At 44.7% G+C, this 14835-nt stretch overlaps 1 protein-coding gene, 1 gene segment (V, D, J or C) and 1 further gene, besides 3 other annotated features; all 3 read right to left on the bottom strand.

Annotated features, from left to right (window-relative positions):
* The window catches only part of TRB (T cell receptor beta locus), a 514277-nt gene that overhangs the window by 59118 nt on the left and 440324 nt on the right, over positions 1-14835 (bottom strand).
* On the bottom strand, positions 1098-4698 carry PRSS1 (serine protease 1). Of its 6 annotated transcripts, none has more exons than NR_172947.1 (5): positions 4646-4698; positions 3472-3615; positions 2143-2341; positions 1603-1739; positions 1098-1302 (listed from the first exon to the last, which is right to left on the bottom strand). NR_172947.1 is itself a non-coding variant. In NM_002769.5 (5 exons), the coding sequence occupies exons 1-5, from the start codon at positions 4683-4685 to the stop codon at positions 1150-1152; spliced, it is 744 nt and encodes a 247-aa protein (NP_002760.1). In that variant the 5' UTR covers positions 4686-4698; the 3' UTR covers positions 1098-1149. The 6 variants fall into 6 exon arrangements, 1 of the variants encoding a protein (NP_002760.1); NR_172948.1 differs by having other exon boundaries at positions 2143-2338; NR_172949.1 differs by having other exon boundaries at positions 2143-2396; positions 3456-3541.
* Positions 13237-13245: a recombination feature (RSS_nonamer).
* Positions 13246-13268: a recombination feature (RSS_spacer).
* Positions 13269-13275: a recombination feature (RSS_heptamer).
* TRBV29-1 (T cell receptor beta variable 29-1) lies at positions 13276-13897 on the bottom strand. The segment is given in 2 exon segments: positions 13276-13576; positions 13864-13897. Coding segments are annotated over 2 exon segments (335 nt in total), but the record flags the coding sequence as incomplete, so codon positions are not given.

Below are 14835 nucleotides of genomic sequence, written 5' to 3'. Positions count from 1 at the left end.
AGCTCCCAGGGGTGTCCACAACCACTTGGGACAGAGGTGAAGGTGGAATTTCAAAGAGAAGCTTCCTTGGATCTTCGGTGCCAAGCTTGGATGAGCTACAGCCCCAACATGGGCCCTCTCAGAATTGCCAGGAGGAGGCTTTGGCAGGTGCCAGAGGTGCCACAGGGCCTGCCTCCCTCTGCTGCATCCAGTGGGTTCAAGCCAGCCAACGTGTGGTCAGAGTGGCTGGTGGTGTCACAGTCCTCAGATCTTTCCTTCCACCCCTTTTAAAGAATCCCAAATAACTCACTTGAAGTGTCTCAAAGTCAAGCAAGTTTTATGAAAATGAATCCTTCCTCAGCTAATTGATCAAATAGGTGAATCCTGACCCTCTCTAGTTTCTTTCCCTGGTCAGAGTGAGGAGCTGGTGTTAGCTGTGGGATTCACTGTGGCATCCTACCCCAAAGGCAAAGAAGACGAAAATCAAGCCCAGTGTGTAGATCTGCGCTTGATTCCCAAGTCGCAGTCTGGCTCCTGCTATGGTAGGTGGAACATCTCTCTAGCCTGCTCACAGAGATGGAACTAGGGAACTGAGGGAAGAGTTAGGCGGCCAGGGAGATTTATTTGCATCTGATTTTCCAGGTGAATGAGAAGGGAGGGCTTGGTCGAGGGTTTGGTGCCGACACATTCCTGGGAGAGGCACGTCATCACCAACAGGATTTGTCATTATTATTGTATTTTAGCAAGAAGATTCAGCTGGTCAAGTTTTTTGGGCCACCTCGAAGATGCTGACACATTTTCTGTGCTGTAATTGTTCTGAAGGCAGAGTAGCTCTAACTACTGTGAGAAGCCCAAATAAAAATCAATACCCACCCCCCCACCCCAAAGACCACCTTTCTGAAACAGGTATCTCTAGAAAACAGTACTCCCCTTTCTCCCAAGCTTCTTCTTATTTTTGGATTCCATCTGTTTGTATGTGCTAATCTAGTGTACCATGGAACACATTTTGGGAGATGGGGGCTCTGCTTACCTTTAAAGGGGACAGTCGTGTCTAACCTGAAATTGGAGGATGCTTTCCAGTGTGAAGGAGTGAGAGGGAGCAGGCACAGACACAGACAGTGAGAACAGGGTCACTTTATTGGTATAGAGACTGAAGAGATACTGGGGGCTTTAGCTATTGGCAGCTATGGTGTTCTTAATCCATTTCACATAGTTGTAGACCTTGGTGTAGACTCCAGGCTTGTTCTTCTGGGCACAGCCATCACCCCAGGAGACAACTCCTTGGAGCTGTCCATTGCAGACCACAGGGCCACCAGAATCACCCTGGGGGGAAGAAGGGACAAGTTGTATGGAGAGATGGAGGAGGAATATAGCTACATTTACTCTGAACCTTAAAAGACCCCTTTCCAGCCAGCTCTGTGGCTCCATGTCCTTCTCATGGTGGCCCATTCTCTGTTCTTCCTAAGCAGACAAGATGCAGCCCAAGGGAGTCTTCCTCACTTCTCCATGTGGGCACTGCAGGGAGCCTCCTCAGCCCCACCACCTTTTGAGTTCAAATCCTTTTCCCTGGTGGGGCCTAGGTATCAGTGGGAGCCTCAGCATGGGAAGGGTTGGTCAAATCACCTGACATGAATCCTTGCCTCCCTCAAGGAAGCCCACACAGAACATGTTGCTGGTAATCTTTCCAGGGTAGGAGGCTTCACACTTAGCCTGGCTCAGCACAGGAGCATCCAGGCACTGCAGCTCGTCTGGGTAGTCGGCTGTGAGGATCAGGAAGAGATCAAAGGAAGTAGAAATGTGGGTCAGGCCAGAGAAGGAGACAATAATCTTGGATGGAAAACTGAAGAGGAACACAGCCCCTGGAGAGGACTCCAGAACATAAGTCCTGGCAAGAGACTCTGGCTTTTAGTTCCCAGAATGATCATTGTTGAACCCCTCCCAAGATGTGATCATATCAAGTTCTCCATTTGTCCTGTCTCTTGATTTTAGGAGCCAAGTCCTTGATAGTTTGCATCTCTCTGGTGCCCAGTGCAGAGTCTGTGTGTAATGGGCACTCGAAATGTGTCTTAAGCCTGGAGGTGAGAGGATTCAAGTTAAGGGGCATGGTTTGTTCTGGAAATTGTGAGGATGGAGGGAAGTAGAAGGACTAAGGGTCCCACTCACCGCCAGAGCTCGCAGTGTTGCCCCAGCCAGAGATGAGGCACTTCGTGCCAGTGGCTGGAGGGGCGGTGGGCAGAGAGATGGTGGACACGCGGGCGTTGATTACTGCACGTGAGGAGAGCTTGATTAACATGATGTCATTGTTCAGAGTCTTCCTGTCGTATTGGGGGTGGCGGATGATCTTGGCTGCATTGATGAACTGCTCATTCCCCTCCAGGACTTCGATGTTGTGCTCTCCCAGTCTCACCTGGATGCGGCTGATGGGCAGGGCAGGCATGGTGAAGACCTTCTCCCACAGCCAGGGCACCTATCCCACCTTCCCCAGGTTCCTCAAGCTCTCTGCTCATGGACAGCTCTGGAGGCATGGGGTGGGGTGTGTGGCCATATCGCATGGGCAGCAGAGGGATGTGGGTCAGTGAAGGTATGAGACCCAGGACCTATCTGCTCCAGAGGTTGGTGGTAGTGGGGTGGGGAAGAGTCAAAGGGATCCCACCAGAGGCTGCTCCTCAACCTGCCTCCCCAGACTCTTTCCCACAATCTCCACAGTCACTAGCACTGTGGGCACAAGGAGCTCCTTGAAGTTTTCCCAGCGTTCTTCACCCCAGGCCTTTGCCAACTGTGCACAGTGCCTGTTCCTCCCTCCATTCTTGGCCTGGTGAGAACCACCCTTCTGTGTAATCTAATCCAAGGGTAGCCATAGCATTAGCATCTCCTGGGAACTTGTTAGAAATGTGAATTCTTGGTCCTTACCCCCACCTACTGATCAGAACCTTGGGGAAGGGGCCCAGTGATTTGTGCCTTAACAAGCCTGCAGGGCGTTCTGATGCATACTCAGGTTTGAGAGTTCTTGGTGTAGGCAGCAGTTCTCAGCTCTGTCTATACACTCTACAGTTAGCAGAGGTAGAGTGTAAAATTCTCACTGATATTCACACCCTCTTCCTGAAAATTTTGACTTAATTGCCCTGGGATAGGACAAAGGCATCTGTATTTTTAAAAAGTCTTTCTTAGTTGGCTTTAATGTGTAGCTAACCAGCAAAAGATACTTGCCTGCTTTTCTCACTAGCTCTCACCACCCCAAGATCATCCCTGCCTGCTTTTATGACCACAACCCTTGCTGTTTCATGGATTTGCCTGGGTGTGAGAGGTTCCTGTCTTGTGTTCACTCTCTGCTCTGGAGAGTCCGCAGCTGCCAACAAGTTTTCTTCTCCACCACCTCTCCCATCCATCTTACCCAACCTCAGTAGTTCCCTGGGCTGAAGCCAAGCTCTCCCAGGCAGACTGGCCGGGAGCTTTGCAGTCGGGGGCCCCACACTTACGACTTGTAGCAGTGGCCTGCTGATACCACCCACTGTTCGTTGATGAGGGAGCCACCACAGAAGTGGTAGCCAGAATTCAGGGACACCTGGTAGGGGACAGAATTCTCCTCACAGTTGTAGCCCCCAACGATCTTGTCATCATCATCAAAGGGGGCAGCAACTGGAGTGGAGATGGGAAGGGAGAAGGCAAGTCAATAGCATGTTAGGGGTGGCGCTCCCAGCCTGTGATTGCTTTCTGCTAATTAGAAATCCTTAACAAGCACAGTGAGGCTAGGCAAGGGAGGGAGCTCTGCCACCCCTGGTGATCATCACTGCCTGTGGCTCCCAAGTCTCTGTGCCTGCAGGGCACATAGCTAGGTACCCTGCGGAGGATCCGAGCTCTCCTGGGGTCACCAGGCTGAAGTCGCAAGGAATGTCCTCACAATGCTTCCAGTGGGATAGGAGTTGGGATGTGGTTGTCTCTCCCACTGAGTGCTTCTCTCTTTTATTCATCACCTGTGTACTTCCCCTGGCTATTTGGGCCCTGGATTGTCAGGATTCTTTTGCCAAGCTAGGAAAACCCCCTGTCTGCATAGACCTGGCCATGACCACCTTCCCCCATAGCTCAGATCTGTGCAGTCAGGGCAGAGTTGAGGGCAGCCCCCAGGCTCACTTTGGCAGAACAAAGGTAGACTTTGTTATTGGCCAATAGGACAGCAATTCTTAACCTTGGCTGCATGGCTGGAAATATTAAAAATCACCTGGGAAGCTTAAAAGCCCAGAACACAAGCTCTACCCCAGACAATTGAAGTTAGAATTTCTAGAGCTGAGTCTCTGGCATGAGTAATTTTTCAACCTCCCCAGGTGCATTCGAGGTTAGGAGCAGCTATAGTGGTGCTATTCTGTTGCTGTTGGAGCCAAGCCTGAAGCCTGCTGCTTCATTTCGTGGGACAGCCCCACCTGGCCCCCTTCCCAGCTTCTCCAACCACAACTCGGATATGGATGAATGACAGTGGTGGGAGTGAAGTCAAGGAGAAGGTGAACAGGTGAGACTTAAAAAGAGCCCAAGGAGGATGGGAAGGAGATATGCCAGATGGAGGAAACGGAATATCAGAGCACAGTCAAAAGAGGAGAGGTGGTAAGAATGGAAGGGCATTTGTCGGCCAGGAACGGGGGGGTGGTTGGGGCCTGAGGCAGGGCATGATACTCACGAGCAGCTGCCACAAAGGTAAGGATCAGGAGTGGATTCATGGTGGTAGAGTGTGCCTGACTGGTGGTGGAGGACTCGTCTTTATACCTCACGAGGATCCAGAGAGGAGGTGACTGTGAGGTGAGGGTCACCACTCCTCCCAGCACAAACACACCTGCAGCTTTCCTCTTCCCAGGGTCTTGCATCAGCCTGGCTATGTTTGGCCACTCTCTGGGTTTGTGATTCACAGGTGATAAGGAAACTTTCCTTCTGAGAGCAGAGAGCGAGACCGGCTGTTTCCTGCAAGGATACTGGGATGGGGAAGACAGGGAAAGTCAAGCCCCAGATAACAGAGCTGGGCTTTCTTAGGCCCTGGAGATGAGGGTTAGAAGGAGGGAGAATGGCCTAGCTGTTTACAAATCTTTCCACCTATTGGGAATGTATTTAATGTACTTAAGGAAGGGCAAGCATTGGTAAAAAGCTTGGATTTCAGTTTCCTGGGGCCCACATGAGAGGAGCAAAGTCTTATCTAAGGCTCATTCCTGTGAATATGAAGATGCTTCTCTCCAGTCAGTGTGCAGGAAGGTCAAATGCAAGATTTTGGGGAATGAAAATTCCAACACTAAGGGGTAAGGAGAAGGGAGACTCAGCATTCCATAGGATTCTGGGCTTCCAGATTTCTCTCCTTCCTACCAAGGCTTAAGGATGGGAAGTGTTTCAAAGAAGGAGGGGGCACAGTTTCTGTAGGAGCTTTCTCAGTGCCTCTGGAGGATGGAAAACCAATGGCGCACTCCTCCCCTTCTTCAATGTGAAGACATTTGTCTCTCTCATGTGCATCCTGTCATAGGTTCTTTTTATGCAGCCTCACTGTTGTCCTTGCAATCTGCACTCAGGTGATGCAAACTGACCCACCTGCTCAGGGCTGACAGTCTGAACCAGAATGATCAGATGATCATTTTCTATTTTCGATGCAGTGAGATTATGCTTGGCTCAGTACAAAGTGAATCTTCCTAGAGAATATCCTGATTTGGGCCCTACCAAGGCTACTAAGACACAGTTGTGTAATTGACTGAGGCACAACCTGGCCAGAGCAGTGTGGAAATGGAGATGCTGTCTGTGCTCAAGTCTAATGATGTAGGGAAAGGAGGAGCTTCCTTATGAGGGTGCTTTCCCTTCTCAGCAACTCTGAGCTCAGGCTGGTGATGGGCAGGAGTAAGTAGAGTTCAAGTTTGGATTCTTTGAAAGGTAAAAGAAGCAGAAATGTTCTAGAGACGGTGGACAAAATGGGAAAAGCTCAGAAACTTGGTGTTGAAATCGGACCTGGCCAGGGGGCTAGAGGGAGGAAGCAAATGGAAACCAGAGGGAATTGGAAATAATGCCAAAGTGGGGCCCATGGTGTTGAGAGGACACACAGAGTACCTTCGGTTTCAGCTCCTGGTATGGCTGCTGAGCCAGCTTCCCCACAGCCAGGAGACCCACTGCTTGGAGACCCCCTCTCCGCCTCGCACCCCCTCTAATCACTAATGGGCCCATACCTAACACTGCTATGCTTAGATGGTGCACAGTGCCTGACAACTTTACAAGAGTTTTCATGTAAGCAACAGTGGTACATTACTTTTCATTTATGCTGAGTTTCACACTTTAACTTCCCACAAACATGCTAATTGTAATTTGTGCAGAGCAAAATTGTTTCCATTTATAGAGCAAGAGACTGAGATTCAGAAGGATTCTGTCTTGCCCAAGAATACAGATCTTGGCAGAGCTGACCATAAGGCCAACAGAAGCCATGGAGAGCATTGTGAAGTGTGGGAATTTCATCTAAGAGGAGGTATCTAAAAGGAGATTTATTGAGGATCAAGACAGAGGTCCCTAGAGGACAAACTGTACATCTGATTCCTTCCTGGTGCTTTTCTTCCTGGTAGAAATGGATGATTGAATTTATCTTTCTCCTGGCACCTAGTCTCAGAGCATTACCATGCCACAGTTCGAGACCCATCCAGGCCATGACTGCCATGTAGATGACAAACTTCTCTGCTCACGAATAACTTGCCAAGCCTGAGGTAGCCAGGTTTTGGAGCATTGATAAAATGGGCTTTTCCTTTGTTGTCCCTGAACATGTTGTTTCATTTTGTCCCTTGTCATGGGGTCTTCACAGAACACCTGCCTTAGAGGATAAGGAGAGACTCCTGCTCTAACAACTGTAGATACTAGTGTGCACTAAACAGGGAGGTGAACCTTGGTAGAAGATGGAAAATTTTTTTGGAAAAGGGGATTTTTGGATCAGTGCTTGTGGCTCTGACTCTCAGTCTGAAAGGGAACACCCAAGAATTTGAGGATTTTCTGTATCTAGAGCTTGAAGACTAGCCTTCTCCAGTATTTTGCGCTCTTCCTTAAATGATCGCAAAATAGTCTGAGGTCAGCTTTCTTCAGAAAGGAATGACCTTACAGGCAGAGAAGATAGCTATAGGTGGAGACTGTTACCTCATACTGTAGACTCAGATGTGTAGGATAGGTTCAGATCCAGCTGCCAAAGCTCAATTTGGAGGACATGTCATTCTTGTTACTGTTCATTCTGAATTGTAGATTTCTTTGTCTACTTCTCAAGACATCTCTCTGGCTTGTATTTAGTGCTTAGCACACTAAACCACTTTCCTTTAATTTTGATAACAGTGAGTCTTTTCTGTGTGCTTACTATATACCACATAACTTACTCTACAGCATGTAACTCATGTAAGTTAAAAATGTTTTTTTCATTTTATCATCACAACCACCTATGGGATTGCCCATTTTACAGATGATCAAATGAACTTTCTGGAGGTGAAGTGGCTTGCTCAAGGCCACACAGCCAGGAGGTTTTAAAGATGGGATGTAAGTATGGTGGTCCGACTCTAGGGCCTCCATGCTGTGCAATAGGGCATTCTGCTTTGCCTCCTCTGAGCTGATCCTTAGTGCAGCCTCACTGAGGTGGTAGGCAGCAGATATTGTTCTCTCCTTTTTACAGATGAACAATCTAAAGCTCAGAGGTCAAGTGTCTTCTCCAGGGTTACTTGTCTAAGGAAAGCAGAGATCATACTAGAAACTTCCCTATTCAGACAAAGTTTGTTCCCCTTCATGTTGCTACAGAGTTGCGTCTTTCAGACCTAGTAGTCTGCAAACTGTCATATTCCAATTTTATTTTTTAACACTTTCTTCTCCAAATCCCACCAGATCTTTCTCCTACATTCTTACTGATCTCCTCCTTGGGTTCCAGTATCTTTTATCGTTCCCCAACCAGACTGTCAGATTTTAGGCTGTCTTACCCCCAAACTCCCAGCTCCTCTCCTCATCCATTTTTTTTTCTAAGCTACTTATCTCCCGCACAGCACAATTTCTCTTTATCCAATAAGGAATTATTTTCGTTACTATATCATCCCAGGAATCATTGAATCTGGAGAGTGAAGGGAGTGCTCTGTGTGACTCGGAAAAGTCTGACTTGTAAGATGGAGTCCCAGAGCATGAACTGGTCAAGGCTGATCAGCTAAACGGAGTAGCCCATTCCTCCCCGCCTGCCTCCCGCCCCTCCTCTTGACTGCCTCTTGCCCCTCCTTCTGCCTGCCCAGCTGCTCCCCAGCTTGAAGCCATGGAAGACATGCAAGTTTTATGCCCAGAGGGAAGTTTATAGTTCTGTTTATTCTTCAGGCTTCCATGTATGGGTAAATGGGGAAGCCTCTAGCACTTGACACTAAACCCACAGTATTTTAAGGATAGATTGATTGCTCTAATATAATGGTGAGTCTTTCTGTTCACATTTCAGCCACTCCTTGACCACTCTCTTGTTTGGCCTATTAGAGCTGCTTAAGTGAGTCCAGGCTCCCTTAGACAAGAAGCAGAAGAAAGCCAGGACAGAGTGCAGGAGAAACACCCATGTAGGTTCTTATTATTGTAACATCTAGGATCTGTTTCATGATACTCAGAGTTTAATATATGATGTATGCATTTATTTTTCTAAATTATGCTAGCTCTAGACTGAGGCTCACAAGCTAGGTTTGGTGATAAATCCAGTCAACTGGGTTCCTTCTACTCATGTAGTTTATAAAAGTCTAGACTGTGTCATCCATTTGGAAGGCAGCCAATGGGTCAGTCATTTCCTCAAGATCATCTTGGCCAGGAGGGCCTTCAAAAGGCTCCTAAGGCTCAGAATTGAATGCTCCATCCACACAGGCACCAACACAATTCCAATTGAGAACTTTCCACCCCAGGGCCACTGTGTTTGAGCAGGTTCTGCACTTTGCCTCTCTATAGAACCCATATCATCTGTTCCATTTCCCAGTCTTGGGTAAGGCAGCAGAACGGGGTTGGCACATGACATATGGACCTTTCTATTCAAATACAATGCTTGTTATCTGTAGTCCTCCTACAGTTCTGTAAAACACTGGAACTTATTCCTCCTATCTAGCTGTAATTTTGTGTCCTTTAATCTTTTTGTATCCTCCCCGCAACTAAAACATAAATTTAAAACAAGAATAAAAAATATAAAGTTTGAAGTGCTTATTCCTTTCCTGTTAGAATAATCTAGTTAATTTTCTTATGGGCTTAGATTATCTAAACTCAAATGCCTTTGTAGAGTTTTCCACCAGGGAAATCCACTGCAGCTGTATAAATTTTCCTCTTATCTTTGAAATGTATTTATTTACTCACAAATATTTATTGAATTCCTGGAGTGATATTCCAAGAGTTCTTCTAGGCTATTTGGAAGCAGCAACGAAGAAGACAGAAAAGGTTCTTGTTTTCAGTGCATTCATGTGTGCATGTGCATGCATTTATGCACATATGAGGAGGTATAGAAATGGGATGCACATACATCACTTTCAGTAAATGATGAGTACATATTACTAAAATAGGATAAAGTGATAATATGGCATGACTGCTGAAGTGCTGTTACGTAGAGTGGTCAGGAAAGGTCTCTTTGGGGAGGTGGCATTTAAGTTAACACCTGAATAAAAAAGAACCAGCCATCTGCAGGTAGACTTAGGGCTTTCATGATTTCCTTCTGAGTCTGCAACAGAAATAATTCAACGCACACAAACAATTGCTATTTAAAATTAAATAACCCTGTCATCTAGCCTATGGATATATACCTTGTCATGGGTTTTGATTGTATGAAGGATGGTCATCAGTATATCGAACTATTCTTATTAAAGTTAATGTAAAATATTTTTGACATGAAATGATATTCATGAAATATTGTTGGGTTAAGGGAATAAATTCTAAAACTACATATTGTATGATCTAATTTTATTAAACTGAGTGATTTTGACTTTTTTATTTTGATAATATGCATATTTTATAATACCACAAATTTTTTATTTAATTAAAATAGCTAAAAGAGAAACAATTGTAATGATAAAATTTTCTGAGAGAGGGCCATACTTATTCTTGAGGAAGGAATTGCCAGTGGTAAAATATGTTTTTATAGTGAGAAATACGTTTAGGTAGCAACTACACTAATTGCATATTTTGTCTCTATGTGCTTTTTATACAGATAATTGTATCACTTTCTTATTTTAAAAAACCTACATTTAAAAACTCACTATTATTCTTATTTTCTATGGAGAAATTAAGGCATGGAGAAATTGTGTAACTTGTTAAGGTTACACCTAGTGTTAAAGCAGAAGAACCAAGTTTTAAACTTAGGTCTGTCACTTGACAAAGTTCAAGTTCCTAACCACAGTGCTTTACTGCTTTTAAAGAGGCAATTTTGTAATATAGGAAGGTGCTTCATAATCCAAGGCTTCACTGTAGGTAAATTTGTCAACTTCCTATGGTAATGGGAGCATGGGCCAGGAAGGTAAGCTAGCACTGAGCCCATGAGATAAAACAGGTATACATGTGCATTCCTGTGACCTGGAGAATTAGTACACATGGAAACTGGAGAAGGCCCATGAGACCTTACATGGACCAGAAACTAGACAGGAATCACTGCTTTTTAAAGTGAGGTACACAAAGAGATACACAGTTAGTGAAAGGATGAGCTAGAAAACTAATCCTAGAAGCAATTAACAAAGAATATTATTTGTCTTGGTCTTGGCTTTGGGTGAAGGATTTTAAAAAATTTCCTCTGAATATTCATGGTCACTGAACAGTCAGCCCATTGGGGTTTGAGATAGACATTCTATGACCAAGAAGATATATACTGAGAATTATAAAATAAAATGATATTAGGTCTGTAGCGCCCCAATTTCTTGACAGAGGCAAACATGAATTTTCCTAGAAAACCCACTTTTACTCCAGTATTTAAAGAATTCTGAAAGATGAATTCACATTAACTTACATAATGTACAAGGAAATAGGCTACCCTGAGTGAGAGCCAGCAGACCACTGAAAGCCAGATGCAAAAAGGCATCAAATGCTGGCATTGTCAGATAATAATTCCCAGTAGATGCTTAATATACTTATAAAAAGAAAATAATTTTAAAATACACAAGGAACAAGATGCTTTCAAAAATGTCCACTCATATTTGTAAATGACCCAAGTGGATTTTCTAGAAATAAAAATTAATATAATTTAGATGAACAAAGTCAGTTGAAAGATTAAATTAGAGGCTTACTGGAGCTGAGGTGTGAATTAGTAAACTAAACAGTAGTTTTAAAGAAATTACCCAGATTGTAGCATAGAGAAGCAAAAAGAAGAAAAATATGACTGAATAGGTAAGGAGACTAGATGATAGTATGAAAGAAAATTGAACATAAGATATAGCTATACTTCTGGCCATCTCTTCTTCAATAAAATGTGGACAACAATCAGGTATACCAATTTAAGTTTTGGCCCCGAGAAGATTTCCCTTCACCACTACCTTTCAGAACCATACTTGGTTAGACTGTAATGATCCTTCCAGAATAATGTGAAGACCCATCAAAAAAATAAGCTCATGTTTCTCAACTGGAAATATGGAATTTCCATGAAACTTGGGTGTGGTTTGAAGGTAAGAGGAGAAAAGTATGAGTGGGTAGCATGAGACTCTGAGATGTGCTCTTGAAATTGAATCGTGCCTTTTTCCAGCTGTGCTTAAGTATGGTCTTGATTATGTATTTTCCATTTAATAACAGAATGCTCTGGGCACAGCCAAATTTACAGTTTTGCAGATCAGATAATACCTTGTTCTGAATGCCATTATGAGGCATCCATTATAGAGCCAGGAGCAACTTTTCAAAAGAAAGGGGATCGTTGGCCGGTAAGAGTATGGCTTTACACCAAAACTCTGCACCTGTCTGCAGGGCAATTCTCCAGGTGGCCTTGGACAAACTCAGTACTCCCCTATTTCTTGCTTGTAGTTCTCAAAAATAACTGTACAATGTTCTGGGACTGTAACATCCTGAGATAAGGAGGAACTGGCCAGAACAGCCAGGGCTCTGTTCCAGTCCCTTCTAGAAATAGAATGTCCTTCAATGCTTTGCCAAGCATGTCAAGTTGCTCTAAGATATAAAACCCAGGGTGGCTGCTCTCTGAGGTCCCTCAGTGGCAGTGCAAGTAGGGAAGGCACAGACAAGATTTCATCCACCCTGGGCAGCTTTCCTGAGCCTAGTGGGACTGGCTTTCCCTGAATCTTAGGCCTCTGTTTTCCCTTGCTGCCTGTATGTAAGTAATAAACACTCCTCATGTAATTTGTGTGTGTGAGCATTCTTTCTCTCTGGGATCTGGAAAGCAACAAAAGTATAGCCCAAGATGCAATGGTCTGAAGTGCAAATCAGGGCACAGCAAACCTGTTCCACACTGCCTTGTGATTCTCGTATTGGGGAATGTCAGGAGCTCCACAGGGCATCAGTATCTACCATAGGCTCTTCAAGAACAACTGGGTCTGCTTAGTCCATGGCCCAAGCAGCAGGAAGCTTTCATCATGGGCTTCTTCTGCCACAGAACCCTCTCTTGCACTGGCCCCAGCTTTACAGATTACATAGTAAATGGGATAGAGTAGCACAATCAAATGCAGTATATCCAAAGTTTAATTCAAAGTCCAAAGACTAAGCATTGCACCTCTTTCTCCGTGGTACATGATCTAAGGTGCAGCAGCTTACTTCTTACATCTGGACCACTCCAAAACTCACCAGTATAGAAGGTTCCTGAACTTTGCAGATTTTATATTGGCCTGGGATGCATGTGTCATATTGTCATATTGAAGCATCTAGAGGGCTTTATCATTCCTATTCACTGAGAACAACCAGATGTCATTAATATAATGTACCAGCTTTGTTTCAAGATGACTAAAGTTCTTCCAAAATATATTATGATAGAAAACCAGCTAAAAAGAGCCTTGAGATAAAACAGTTAAAGGCTATTACTGACCCCGCCACTTGAAGGAAACTGTATCTGATTGTTTTTATTGGGTATTTCTGAGCACCCTTCTAGAAGAAATTTTACCCTCAGCTTTCCAGGAGCCACTCTTCCTGCCTGTGGATAGAACGCTCCAGCTAGTCCTACAGATGCTCTCCTCATCCCCAGTCTATCCATTCATACCCATGCCCACCCACAAACACAGAAACAGCTGTGTCTGCCCAAAAGCTGTGGTTTCCTCCTTCTGTCCCACCTTGGCAGGGCCTTCAGGCTCGTGTGAGAGGAGCTGGGTAGGAGAGAGCTGAGGTTCTTGCTCAGATCTTTGATCTGTGCCCCGCACTGTGTCTTCAACGCTGCAGAGATATATGCTGCTGTCTTCAGGGCTCATGTTGCTCACAGTCAGAGTTGAGAATGTTAGGTTTGGGCGGCTGATGGGAAACTTGTCAATGACAAATCCACTCTCATATGTGGCCTCAGAGCCCTGATTTGCAGTTGCGATCAGTGTCAGGCTCTGTCCAGGTTGCTGACGGTACCAGAACATCATGGTGACTTGGCTATCGACTTGACACTGGATCGTCAGGGAGGTTCCACGTTGACAGATATCCCTGCTTGGCTTTTGAGAGATGACAGCACTGAACACAGAGCCTAGTTCCAGAGAGATATTCATGAGGACCGACAAGCTTGGGGTCAGACATCTCCCCAGGCAGGAAGGTCTCTGCTTTATCTCTCCAATACCACCTCAGCTCCCAAAGGACCCCAGGGAACTGCCTCCTTTTTATTGTGCCAACAATTACTCTGTTATGGTTCTTTAATCTAACATATCCCCTTCATCTTCTGTCTGGTGGCTTCAGACTCTCTGGAGAGAAAGTCTTTCCACCTTTCCACCCAGTGTTAACATTAACCCCAGACTCCTCAAAAGACAAGGCTCATACCTAGTCCCAGGAGAAGGAGCAGAAGACTCAGCATCTTCAAGTGATGGCCTCTCCCCTGAGAAAAGGCACTAAGAAGTGAAACTCAAGTTCATCTTTCCTTCCTACAGCGTAGTTCCTTCCCACTCTGTTTCCCTCCTCTAACAGGTGGTTGAGTTTCTGCATGATATGCAAAAATCAGTCTTCCCCCTGGTGGAACCGTGTGGCTCTTCACTCAGGATGAGTCTTCATGCACAAGTCTCACAGCATGCACCAGCCACTCACCACCATTCTCCCATCACTTTTCCATCTGTCATTACTGAACACCAATCTGTGCTACTGTCTGGGTGTAGAGCAAAAAGTGGGGTGCAGAATTGACTTCAAAGAACTAAAAGTAATATGTTAGAATATAAGGGAACTTCATTACAGTATTTCAGCTGTCTGCTGGGTCTTCATGGTTGTCCCAAACTGAACTCCTTCCTCCCCCAACACGTACACACACCAATAAACGGGCTCTTATTCCTCAATTCCCCTCTCCCAATAAATTGCATCCCTGCTCTTCTTGCATGTTAGGTTCAAGAATTCCATAAGCCTCTTTTTTCCTCACCTACCTTATTTGTCAATTCACAAATTAAATGCATTGTCTCTTATATCTCTTCCCTTGTTTCAGTTATCACAGTCATAACTATTTTTTTTTGTCTTTGCTTAATTCCTGAATACTTGTAATATGGTTTCTTCTATTCTAATTCAACTCAGTCTAGGCCACGAAACAGATCATGTTTGTGTAAAACTTGACCACAATGGTATGATCTTTTTCCATTATCAAGCTGATTTCTCGTATCATGTAACTGCTTAAAATAGTTTATTTTTGCATAAAAGCAGAGCTAAGTTTTTGAGCACTTACTCTACTTTTCATACATTTATTTAAGTCTATTTTTTTGGCTAGGCTATTTATTATCATCACACTATTTTTACGGATTAGGAAATTTTACAGAT

This window comes from Homo sapiens, chromosome 7 (genome assembly GCF_000001405.40).
Source record: "Homo sapiens chromosome 7, GRCh38.p14 Primary Assembly".
Classification (NCBI taxonomy): domain Eukaryota; kingdom Metazoa; phylum Chordata; class Mammalia; order Primates; family Hominidae; genus Homo; species Homo sapiens.
The sequence above is the reverse complement of the archived record's forward strand: the minus strand, read 5'-3'. Positions and strand labels throughout refer to the sequence as shown.